Here is a 13,219-nt window from a genome sequence, read left to right on the forward strand (position 1 = left end):
GCAAAAAAAAAAAAAAAAAGTATTAATAGGGCCGAGAGCAGTGGCTCATGCCTGTTATCCCAGCACTTTGGGAGGCTAAGGTGGGTGGATCGCTCGAGGCCAGGAGTTCAAGACCAGCCTGGACAACATGATGAAACCCTGTCTCTACTAAAAATACAAAAATTGCCCAGGCATGGTGGTGGATGCGTGTATTCCCAGCTACTTGAAAGGCTGAGACACAAGAATTGCTCGAACCTGGAAGGCGGAGGTTGCCATGATCCAAGATCGCACCACTGCACTCCAGCCTGGGCAACAGAGCAAGTCTATCTCCAAAAGAAAAAAAAAAAGAGAGAAAAGTATTAATATTTACCCAAGAGGATAGAAAACTAGGGTATTAAGGGATGGGGTGAGCACAAGACTGCTCTATGTGTACTTCATTATAATCTTTTTAATCTTGAAACCATGTAAAGGCATTATTTATCCAAACAAAGAAAACTTAAAAACAATGTTTTGGAAGTGAAAATTACAAATGGATGAATCTCACAAACATAACAGTGAACGAAAGACACCAAATACAATCAAGTACATCCTGTGCGATTCCTTACTATCAAGTACAAAAATACATCTATGGGGTTAGAAATCAGGATTGGGGTTGCCCTGAAGGGGGCGCAACAGGAAAGTTTCTGGGGTCTCAGCATGTTCTGTTTCTAGATCTATGTGCTGGTTACATGGTTTTATCCCATTTGTAAGAATTCATCAAGCTGTACAAATACAATAACGTACACTTTTCTGTATGTATGTTATATTTAATTTCAATAATTTTTTAATTAAATACATATGTGGCCAGGTGCGGTTACTCACGCCTATAATCCCAGTACTTTGGGAGGTTGAGACAGAAGGAATGCATGAGGCCAGAAGTTTGAGACCAGCCTGGGCAACACAGTGAGACCCTGTCTCTATAAAAAATTTTTTAAATAGCCGGGTGTCATGGCATGCGCCTGTAGTCTCAGCTACTCAGGAGGCTGAGATGGGAGAAGACCGTATCTCTATATAAATTAAAAAGTATTTTTAAAATAAGTAAATATATACATAATGTTAGTGCATAGCTTCCTATCTGTAAAATGGGGATGATATCACCCCGTTTACAGCAAAGCTCTCCTGCCTGAGGACGCCCAGAATTCCAAGGAAGAACACAGAATGCTGTCATCATTCAAGCCCAATGTCATGCACGTCCATGTCACATGCTCTAAAAGATTTTTCCAAAAGAAATATGGACATGACAATGTTTTCATTAATGCTGCCTTGGTTTCGAAAGAGATTTGGCCCCTTATTGTCAAAGCCTGAAATTTTAGCTGCAAAGCAAGCGGGGAGGGGTCCCTGAAAACGTTTTTATGCATTTCTCGCTGAAACAAAAGACCAAAAATGGACTTTCCCCAAGAAGTGGTGGGAGGAGGGGCAGCCTGCACGCATCGTCCCTGCACGGCCGCTCATTCCAGCCACCTACCATGCCTCCCGTAATGGAAACACCACATTTAAACAGGTGCCGTAACAGTAAAGGGGCCCCATAAATGGGAAACCCAGGAGGCCTCTCAGAGCTGGACAGCTGGTGCGAAAGGGAGGGTTACAGACCTAAGTGGTCCCCAGACTTCCGGAGTCTGCTATCCTTCACCTCACACACTCTTAAACATCCATTTGCCTCCAAGAGCACACACACACCACATACATTAAATCTCTCAACAGGAAATTTCTTCCATTCTTAAATGGTCTCGACTAAATAAAATACCTTTGACAGAGTATTCTGAGGCACTGGATTGTATTAAATGACAGGGGAAGAGAGGGAATGGGTTACTCTTTTTTTTTTTTTGAGACAGAGTCCCGCTCTGTGGCCCAGGCTGGAGTGCAGTGGCACGATCTCGGCTCACTGCAAGCTCCACCTCCCGGGTTCACGCCATTCTCCTGCCTCAGCCTCCCGAGTAGCTGGGACTACAGGCGCCCACCACCACACCCGGCTAATTTTTTGTATTTTTAGTAGAGACGGGGTTTCACCGTGTTAGCCAGGATGGTCTTGATCTCCTGACCTCGTGATCCGCCCGTCTCAGCCGCCCAAAGTGCTGGGATTACAGGCGTGAGCCACCGCGCCCGGCCGGAATGGGCTAGTTATTCTGTACTAAACCTTCTGCTCAGTTTAGCAGAGTCACATGGACACTCCGGACTGCTTCACAGAGGGACACGAAATGAGAAGGGGGAGGGCAATGTGGTGGCCCTGGCAGACGCAGAATTCAGGGGAGGGTGAGAATCAGTGAATCCCAGCCACATAAGCACCCAAGTGCTGCTAGCAGTTGATGAGAGTGGATTTCATCGCACCCAGGTTGTGTGGCCTGTCACGGATCTAATCTCTTTGCTTCTCCAATTTTTCATCTGTAAAATGGGATGGCAGTACTCACCTTTTGAGGACTTCTTAATGATAACATGTAAAGTATCAAAAAGGCCCAGTGCAAGCTGTGGTACGCACCTGTAATATCAGCTACTTGGGAGGCTGAGGCACAAGGATCACTTGAGCCCAGGAGTTCAAGACCAGCCTAGGCAACATAGTGAAACCTCGTCTCAAAAAAACATAAAAAAAAAAGAAAAAAAAAATTAAGGCCTAGCACAAGGGAAAGGATCAATAAAAGGTAGGAAGTACAGGCCGGGCGCAGTGGCTCACGCCTATAATCCCAGCACTTTGGGAGGCCAAGGCAGGTGGATTACTGGAGGTCGGGAGTTCAAGTCTACCTTGGCCAACGTGGTGAAACCTCATCTTTACTAAAAATACAAAATTAGCTGGGTGTCGTGGCATGCGCCTGTAATCCCAGCTACTTGGGAGGCTGAGGCAGGAGAATCACTTGAACCCAGGAGAAGGAGGTTGCAGTGAGCCAAGATCACGCCATTGCACTCCAGCCTAGGCAAAAAGAGCAATACTCCATCTCAAAAAAAAAAAAAAAAAGGTAGCGAGTACAATGGTTATAGTCCTAAACACCACTTATAAAAGTATTCAAGTGGCCGGAAGAGGTGGCTCACGCCTATAATCCCGGCACTTTGGGAAGCTGAGGCAGGAGGATCGCTTAAGCCTGGGAGTTTGTGACCAGCTTGGGCAACATACGGGGACCCCCATCTCTGCAGATGAGGCTCTCTTATGTCCAGCCTGCTCACTTCTTAAACTTCTGGTTCATAAAATCAAAGACTCAAGACACTGGAAGCTAGAAAGGACCTCAGAAACAACATCTCACAGATGAGGAATCCAAAGACAGTTGTTCATAGTTTTCTTTTGTTTGTTTTTTTTGCTCTGAGGCGTAAGAAAGATTTAAGTGATAAGATAATGATAGTGTTTTGTAAACACTTAAAACAATGTTTAAAGTAATAAACACGAAAAGTAAAGTCTACCTGAAAAGTAAAGAAATGGAGAAAGAGAGAGAGCCGGAGATATTGTTCAATTAACAGCAACAAAATAAAGTGAAATGATTAAGATTCCGTTGCTAGTTAGGCTGTGGTGAGTCCAATATACTTATTATTGATAAATTCATATATGGATATATACATCAACTGATGAAGACCAATCAAGCTTCTGGAAGGCAGTTTGGCAATTCAAATCAAGAGCTATTTTTTACAGTGTCATATTTAATACATATTGAATACAGAACCCACATCCTGGGAATTTATCCTGAGAAAAGTATGTTTAGAAAAGAAAGCAAGCAAACAATATATACTTAAAGAATGTCAGGCTGGGCATGGTGGCTCATGCCTTAATCCCATCACTTTGGGAGGCTGAGGCGGGCAGATCACTTGAGGCTAGGAGTCTGAGGCTAGATTGGGCAACATGGCAAAACCCCTTCTCTACAAAAAATACAAAAGTTAGCCAGGTGTGGTGGTGCCCGCCTGTAGTCCCAGCTACCCGGAAGACTGAGGTGGGAGGATCGCTTCAGCCCCAGAGGTTGAGGCTGCACTGAGCCAAGATCATGCCACTGCACTCCAGCCTGGGCAACAGAGTGAGACCCTGTCTCAAAAAGAAGGAAAAAGAAAGAAAAGAAAAAGGTCAAAAAAGATTATTAAAATAGTGATGAAAATAATACTACATAAATGTTCAATTACAGGAGAATAGTTAAGTAAATTATGAGCTCACTGAAATGTATGACCATTATAAATGAGAAATATGAGGATAAAGTGGCTACAATATGCAGGCTGATGGTGTAACACTACCTGAAAAGAAACAAAATACAAAGCTGTATCTATTTAAGAGTTACAATTATATAAAAAGTACATCCAAAATATGGATAAGAAAAAACAGAGAAAACCAAAAGCAACCAATGTGTTCCTATCCTAGGAATGCAGAAGAATGTCTCCTTTTAAATGCATTTTATTGTTCTTACAAAAATCATGCAGTCAATAAAAACACATTTTAAAAGAGTAAGCTGATCCATGTGCAGCACAAAATCCCTTTCGAAGCTAAGTGCTTGCCCAACTGCCTAGAAAAATAGGTTGGGAAAGTCAAGCAAAGGCCTGAATCCTTATCAGATCTCAATTAGCAATTTCCTCACTTTCCCTAAAACCAGTGCCCTCACCCCTCCCTCTGTGGTCATTCGAAATGAAGACTATGCCCTCAACCCTTGACCCAACCACAGGCATTCAAGCCAGGCTCCTCCCATGAAGATCTCCTTCATTCTTCTGAATGCTTAGTAATGGGTACAGCAGGCCAGGTGCGGTGGCTCACGCCTGTAATCCCAGCACTTTGGGAGGCCGAGGCGGGAGGATGACAAAGTCAGGAGAACGAGACCATCCTGGCTAACACGGTGAAACTCCGTCTCTACTAAAAATAAAAAAAAAATTAGCCGGGCGTGGTGGTGTGTGCCTGTATTCCCAGCTTCTGGGGAGGCTGAGGCAGGAGAATGGCGTGAACCCAGGAGGAGGAGCTTACAGTGAGCCGAGACCGCGCCACTGCACTCCAGCCTGGGGGATAGAGCGAGACTCCGTCTCAAAAAAAAAGAAAAAAAAAAGTAATAGGTACAGCATTGTGGGATCATCTCACCTCTGAGGCAAAATGTTTTCTCCTTGAGGTTAGGGAACTCAGCTTCTCTCTATTTCTACTTGCCCCCCAACCCTTACTACTCCCTCAAGGATCATCCATGATTTTCTACACATAGGCTCAGTATCCAGGTACAAATTCTTCCGCAACCATTTGCAGGTTAGGTCCTGGGCTGCTCAGTCCCTGTGACACTTTTTAAAAACCCAGGTCCACGGTTGGGCACAGTAATGCCTGTAATCCCAGCACTTTGGGAGACTGAGCAGGGCAGATCACTTGAGGTCAGGGGTTCAAGACCAAGGCCTGGTCAACATGGCAAAACCCTGTCTCTACTAAAAACACAAAAATTAGCCAGGATGGTGGTGCGCACCTGTAGTCCCAGATACTCGGGAGGCTGAGGTAGAAGAATCACTCAAACTCGGGAGGCGGAGGTTGCAGTGAGCCGAGACTGCGCCACGGAACTCCAGCCTGGGTGACAGAGCAAGACTCCATCTCAAAATAAATAAAAAATAAATAAAAATAAAAACAGGTCCAGAAGGGCTCACCTTGGAATCAAAGGCATATCGGTGCGATGTTTTTCTTGGTTTTCTGGTTTCTGTTTATCTGCTGGTTCCAAACTGCTTGCCTACCCTGCTTCCCCCTCAGAGTACATGCTGCCTCATGTTGCCTCTTCCTATACATCAGTTTCACCCTGGCTGGAAACTGCTCATCAGCAACTAAGAGAAACTTTCTTCTCCAATGGGCCCATAGGGAAGTTGCCCTCTCTGATCTCTCCTGAGTAAAATCCCCTTTTCACTTTGGGCTTCTCGTCCCACAGCCGCCACCATTCCAAGCTCGCGCTCTTGGCAATGACCTGCGCGTCATGCGTGCGTACAGACTGCTGAGTTACAAATCGGGGCAAGTTTATCCAAACACAGGCCAAGCTCCTCCACAGCAGCGCCGTGGGAGATGAATGTGGCTGAGACCTTGCCATCTAAGAGTTTGCGGTCTGGCAAGTGTCCACAGAGACCCAAGCTAGACTATAACAACACACAGAAAAGAAACATTGTAACGATTCAGAAGGGAAGGGACGACTTCAAGTCACGGAGGAAGCAGAACATCGAGGAAAACTGTAAGAAGATGGCTGATTTCAACCACACCTAGAAGAGGAGGTAGATTTTGACGTGCAGAAATAGAAATGTCCCAGATCTGGAAACAGTGTGAGCAAAAGAATAAGAAAACAGGATATATCCCCGAGGAGAAGTAACTCCTGTTTCACTGGCTCAAAGGATTTGAACAAGGAGTCCTGTCAGACAAGATTGAAAAACAAGGTCTGGACCAGTAGGGCTAGCCATAGCCACCGAAAGTTTAAAACACAGGTGGCGTATCAGAGCTAAGCTTTCAGAAAATCAAGCTTCTTAGCACTGAGGACATATCCATATTACACGTCCTTAACCAATTTAAATAGGCAGTCTAAGACCCAGCACAGTGGCTCACGCCTGTAATTCCAGGACTTTGGGAGGCCAAGGTGGGCAGATCGTTCAAGTCAGGAGTTCAAGACCAACCTGGCGAACACAGCGAAAACCCATCTGTATTAAAAATATAAAAATTAGCTGGGCATGGTGGCAAGTGCCTGTAATCCCAGCTACTCAGGAGGCTGAGACAGGAGAATCGCTTGAACCTGGGAGGCGGAGGTTGCAGTGCCAAGATCATATCACTGCACTCCAGCCAGGGGGGCAGAGGGAGATGGTCTCAAAAAATAAATAATAAATAAATAAATAAAAATAGGCCACTTGTGGTGGCTCACGCCTGTAATCCCAGCACTTTGGGAGGCCCAGGTAGGCAGATTACATGAGGTCAGGATGAAAAGCCCATTTCTTTCTCAAAAGGGCCACGATCCCTCTTGCTGTCCCAGACCACCAGAGCTAACATTTGGTTCCGGTGAAATGGAAACCTCGAAATGACGAAGGAGTTCAAGAGCAGCCTGGCCAACATGGTGAAACCCCACCCCTACAAAAATACAAAAATTAGCCAGGCACGATGGTGGGCGCCTGTAATCCCAGCTACTCAGGAGGCTGAGGCAGGAGAATCACTTGAACCCCGGTGGCAAAGGTTGCAGTCAGCTGAGATCACGCCATTGCACTCCAGCCTGGGTAACAGAGCAAGACTCCGTCTCAAAATAAATAAATAAACAAGCAAACAAACAGGCAGTCTAACAGAGCAGCTGGGCATGGTTATGGGTTGAACTGTAGCCCTCAAAAAAAGATATGTCAAAATCCTGGCCAGGCACGGTGGCTCACGCCTGTAATCCCAGCACTTTGGGAGGCCGAGGCAGGTGGATCACAAGGTCAGGAGATCGAGACCATCCTGGCTAACATGGTGAAACCCCATCTCTACTAAAAATACAAAAAATTAGCCAGGCGTGGCAGCATGCGCCTGTATTCCCAGCTTCTGGGGAGGCTGAGGCAGGAGAATGGCGTGAACCCGGGAGGCGGAGCTTGCAGTAAGCCAAGATCACGCCACTGTACTCCAGCCTGGGTGACAGAGTGAGACTCCGTCTCAAAAAAAAAAGATATGTCAAAACCTTAATCCCTGGTACCTGTGAATGTGAGCTTCTTTGGAAACAGGGTCTTTGCAGATATAATCAAGTTAAGAAGAGGTCATACTGAATTAGGCTGGGCCCTACAGCCAATAGCTGATAACCTTATAAGAGAAAGGGGGAGATGTGGAAACAGACACACAGACACACATGGAGAATGCAGCCATGTGATAATGTCAGAGATTGGAATGATAATGTGACAAGCCAAGGATTGCCTGGAGCCACCAAAAGCTGGAAGAGGCAAGAAAAGAATTTTCCCTAGGGCCCTCAGAGGGAGTGTGGCCCTGTTGACACCTTGATTACAGACTTCTAGCCTCCAGTTCTGTGAAAGAATAAACTTCTGTTGTCTTAAGTCACCAGATTGAGGTACCTTGTTACCGGGAGGAAACTAACAAAGACATGAATTAAATGTCTTGGAAATCATCAATGCTTTGGGACATTCAGAGAAGATGGGATCATTCATGAACCAGGAGGCAATCCTAGAGAAAAGCTGAAGTCATGAGACACAACCATGATTGGGACTGTGGATATAAGACTAGTGTCTAAGGAGAAAGGGGAAAAAAGGGGAGGCACTCAACCCTCCAAGGTCAACAATGTTCTGATGACTGAGGGTCTTGGTTCAATCCCAGCCTGAAAGGATCCATTAATAGCGCTAATCCTTCCATTGAGATTTAATCACTGGGCTCCTCTGTGGCCCCCACTGGCTTTCTCATCTTTGTTCACTCTGACAGAGCCCACATATTCTTTATTCTTCCCAAGGTCCTTGTTGTTAAGAGGAACACTTTGTGATTAATCTCCATGTGTAAAGTGGATTACAAAACGAGAAAATATGACTTTGGGGGGCTTAAGTGTCCACTAGTCACACCCATTCAAAGATGAAGGTGTATATTCATTAATGTGATTTTTCTGATTATACAAGTAACTACTACTCATCACAAAATCTTTCAAAGTTAGAGAAAATCATACAGAAGAAAATAAGTTGCTTTTATACAGGAAGAGAAAAAAATTGTTTTAATTTATTTTAAAAAAAATTTTTAATAAAAGAAAATAACAACCACCCTTAATCTCAACACTAAAGAATATTTATAATGGGTATTCTGGCACACTTTATGTAATGAAAAGAGGTATTTGTAATTTAAAAAAAAAAAAAAACTGTGATGGAATCTTCCAGAAGAATTACCCAGGTAGAAGGAAAAAAAAATGTTAAAAAGAAACCAGAGGCCAGGCTCAGTGGCTCACACCTGTAATCTCAGCACTTTGGGAGGTCCAGGCAGGCAGATCACGAGGTCAGGAGTTCGAGACCAGCCTGGCCAACATGGCGAAACCCCATGTCTACTAAAAATACAAAAATGAGCCAGGCATGGTGGCGCATGCCTGTAATCCCAGCTACTCAGGAGGCTGAGGAAGGAGAATCGCTTGAAACCAGGAGGTGGAGGTTGCAGTGAGATGAGATCGCACCATTGCACTCCAGCCTGGGTGACAGAGCAAGACTCCATCTCAAAAAAAAAAGAAAGAAAGAAAGAAAGAAAGAAAGAAACCAGAGCATGCCTGAGAAAAATGGAGAAGGGTGGGCCCATGTAATCAAAGGCTATTAACCATTTTAACACTGCTAGAGGTCAGAAATATTTTATTCATGGCAAAGGAAAAAATTCAAGGATATGCATGTCACAGCATCTACAGTGGGAGTAAAAACTATTAAACCTGACTCTCCTCTGCTCCAGAATTCCACGAAGTAACTTGTTGAAGCTTGAAAAACCTTGAGTTTTCAAGTTTTTCCCAAATTAAAGTTCTCTAGCAACCATAATGCAGCAACCAAGACCATATCTTATACCCTTGAAACAACTTTCCCCAAAGCCCTGTTACTACTGTCTCAGCTGTCTCAGCTGCAGGGCTGTGCCCCAAAATAGTGGGGGGGGGCTGGCTCCTATGTTGTAATAAAGATAAGGTCCAGGCATTCCAGCTTACTAGTTGCTAGTTGCTAGGAGGCTCATAAATTCACTTTTCCTGACTTGGATGAGATTCAGAACTGCTGTATCACAGGCTGAGAAGACATGGATCACTACAATTAAAATTCAGTCTGTCCAAAAGGAACAATTTTAGCCCTTCCCACTCTAATAAGCTACATTAACTGGTCCTGTTTTAAAGAATGGGCAGTTAACTGGGATCTCTAAAGTCTTTGTCATGAAGACTGCAGGTTCCTCATGCTAACCGGCAACTTTTAGAAACAAAGTATATCTGGTTTTGAGCCCATCTTCCAAGAAAGAGACTGTCATTTGTGTATTCTTACTTGAAGTCCACTGAAATTGTGGCAACAGACTCCCACAAACTTTTAAGATAATTTGAATTGTTTGATACAATTGGTGAGGTTTCACAGGGCCAAGGTTGCAGGCAGATCCAACCCTCAAAATTAAAGCAATTAGCTGTCCGTCAGCAGGGGGAAAAAAGGAAAAAAACTACAGGGTGAGGATTTTCAATCTACTTTTAAGGAATTCGATTGCTAAATTGTTTAGTTAACTAAGAACCACAGTTACAAGGTTTTAATTTTTATAATTACAATGAAATGTTAAAGTTCAATTGATATAATTGTGGCACTGAAATTGTAACTTCTAATCACAGAGATTTCAAGATGAGATAATTATTTGAACATTCACACATCTTTTCTAAAATGTCATGGTAGACCATGCACCACACTTGGAACGTTTTCTGAAAATATTTTCAATGCTCGATAAACTGCTTAAGAGGAGTAATTTTGTAATAATCACCCAGCAATATATTAACCATAACAGATTTGAGGGTTAAGGATGAGCTTTGCATGACACAGTTATTAGCAATATCCAGAAGACATTAATTGAAAGAACTTGCTCAAGCACACAAAAGCCCAAAACACCTGAAATTATTATCTAGCTTTAAAGAACTTTCTACTGTATAAAAGGAAGATACACTTTCTTAATTTAATTCCAGCTAAAATAATAACCAAAAGCTGATGCCTCAAGATAGCTCAGTTCCAAATATCTAGAAAGTACAAGATTCTTTCCTAAGACATTTCAACATGTGATCTCGAATAGTATTTGTTATTTGTGTCTTTTTTTTTTTTTTTTTTTTTTTTGCTGAGAGAGTCCCGCTGTGTCACCCAGGCTGGAGTACAGTGGCGAGATCTCAGCTCACTGCAACCTCCGCCTCCTGGGTTCAAGCAATTCTCATGTGCCTCAGTCTCCTCAGTAGCTGAGATTACAGGTGTGTGCCACCACACCCAGCCAATTTTTGTATTTTTAGTAGGGACGGGTTTCGCCATGTTGGCCAGGCTGGTCTCGAACTCCTGACCTCAAGTGATCTGACCACCTCAGCCTCTCAAAGTGTTGGGATTACAGGCGTGACCCACCGTGCCAGGCCATCTGTGTCTTTTAAATGTGGGGTTTCTCAACCTTAACCTTTTGTTGTTGTTTTTTTTTTTTTTTGAGACGAGAGCCTCGTTCTGTCACTCAGGCTGGAGTGCAATGGCACAATCTCAGCTCACTGCAAACTCTGCTCCTGGGCTCAAACAATCCTCCTGCCTCAGCCTCCCAAGTAGCTGGGACTACAGGCATGCACCACCATGCCCAGCTAATTTTTGTATTTTTTTCTAGAGATGGGTCTTCACCATGTTGGCCAGGCTGGTCTCGAACTCCTGGCCACAAGCGATCCACCCACCTCAGCCTCCCCAAGTGCCAGCATTGCAGGCATGAGCCACCGTGCCAGGCCAAGCTGAACATTATTGACTATGGACCTGATCACTGTCCTGGTGGGCTGTTCTATGCACTGGAGGATGTTCAGCAGCATCATTGGCCTTTACCCACTAGATGCCACTAGAACCTCTCTAGCCATGACAACCAAAAATATCTCCAGACATTGCCAAATGTTTGGAGGCAAGGCTGCCCCCAGTTGAGAGCCTCTGTATTAATAAAACACAACAAAAACTACCACCCAGCAAAAGTTTAACACCCAAAAGCTGATACCAAAGGTAGTTCACTTCCAAATCTCATTGCAAATATTTCCTTCAAGAAGCTCTGATAAATAAAATAACTGAGTGATTCAGAGTTTTTTTAAGTAAACAAAGTTTTGCTTTTTTTAAGTGTGAAATTGGTGTTTTAAAACAAAATGTTTCCTGTGTTCCTTTTCTTGATCTATAACTTAATTAGTCATGCCAGAAGTGTAGAAAAGGAAATGTAAATTAGCATACCACCTACATATGTAGTGAAAAGTATTGGCAGAATCATGACTAAGTAAACATTTTTTATTGACTTTCAGCTTTTAAAAATAAATATGCATAGGGCATCATCAAGAAAATTAAATGACAACGCACAGAATGGAGAAAATGTTTGCAAATCATATATTTGATAAGGGACTTATAACTAGAATAGATAAAGAATTCTTACAACTTATTAATAAAAAAAAATTAAAAATGAGCAACACGTCTGAAGATACATTTCTTCAAAGAAAATATACGATTAGCCTACAAGCACATGAAACGATGTTCTGTTCAATGACATTATTTATTGGAGAAATGCATATCAAAACCATGAGGAGATACAGCCGCTCATCCAATAGGATGGCTATAATCAAAAAGACAGACAATAACAAGTGTTGACAAAGATGTGGGAAAATTGGACTCTTTATGCACTGCTGGTGGGATGTAAAATGGTGCACCCACTTTGGGAAATAATCTGGTAGTTCCTCAATACGTTAAACATAGAATTACGTATGACGTAGCAACTCCATTCTTAGGTTTACATCCAAAAGAATATTTTTTTAAAAGGCCGGGCGTGGTGGCTCACGCCTGTAATCTCAGCACTTTGGGAGGCCAAGGCAGGCAGGTGGCCTGAGGTCAGGAGTTCGAGACCAGCCTGGCCAACATGGTGAAACTCTGTCTCTACTAAAAACACAAAAATTAGCCAGGCATGGTGGCATGCATCTGTGGTCTCAGCTACTCAGGAGGCAGAGGCAGGAAAATTGCTTGAACCTGGGAGGTGGAGGCTACAGTGAGCCGAAATCGTGCCTCTGCACTCCAGCCTGGGCGACAGAGAGAGATTCCGTCTCAAAAGAAAAAAAAAAAGAATTTAAAAAAAAAAGATATTCAAACAAATACTTGTGCCATATTCATTCATAACAGTAACTACACACAAAGGCCAAAAGGTGGAAATAACCCAATGTCTATCAACTGATACATGGATAAACAAAATGTAGTATACCCATACAATGGAATATTATTCAGCCAGAAAAAGGAGTAAAATACTGATACACGTCACACTACAGATGAACCTTGAAAACATGATGCTAAATGAAAGAAGCCGGTCACAAAAGACCACATATTATAGGATTCTATTTCTCGGTAATGTCCAGACTAAGCAAATCCATGGTGACAGAAAGTAGATTAGTGGTAGCCAAGTGCTGGGAGGAAGGGTAGAGAAAGGAAGTGACTGTGAATGGGTACAGGGTTTCTTTTGGGGTGATGAAAGTGTCCTAAAATCGACTGTGGTGATGGTTGTACAACTCTGTAAATTTATCAAAAACCACTGAAATGTCTACTTTAAAAAGAGGTGGAAGTATATCTTAATAATACTGTCATAAAAATA

General features: G+C 43.2%; 1 protein-coding gene across 7 annotated transcripts in view, besides 1 other annotated feature; it reads right to left on the reverse strand.

Moving 5' to 3' along the window:
- TIAM1 (TIAM Rac1 associated GEF 1) overlaps positions 1-13,219 on the reverse strand; it is a 440,670-nt gene that overhangs the window by 419,023 nt on the left and 8,428 nt on the right. The gene's annotated exons all lie outside the window — the stretch shown is intronic.
- Positions 7,703-8,435: an enhancer, noted in NCBI's record as "NANOG-H3K4me1 hESC enhancer chr21:32917456-32918188 (GRCh37/hg19 assembly coordinates)". NCBI's record gives its function as "activates a minimal SCP1, AML or CMV promoter by ChIP-STARR-seq in naive H9 embryonic stem cells {active_cell/tissue: H9 hESC(naive)}" and the evidence as "EXISTENCE:reporter gene assay evidence [ECO:0000049][PMID:30033119]".

The sequence above is a fragment of the Homo sapiens genome, chromosome 21, assembly GCF_000001405.40.
Source record: "Homo sapiens chromosome 21, GRCh38.p14 Primary Assembly".
In the NCBI taxonomy this organism is placed as follows: Eukaryota; Metazoa; Chordata; class Mammalia; order Primates; family Hominidae; genus Homo; species Homo sapiens.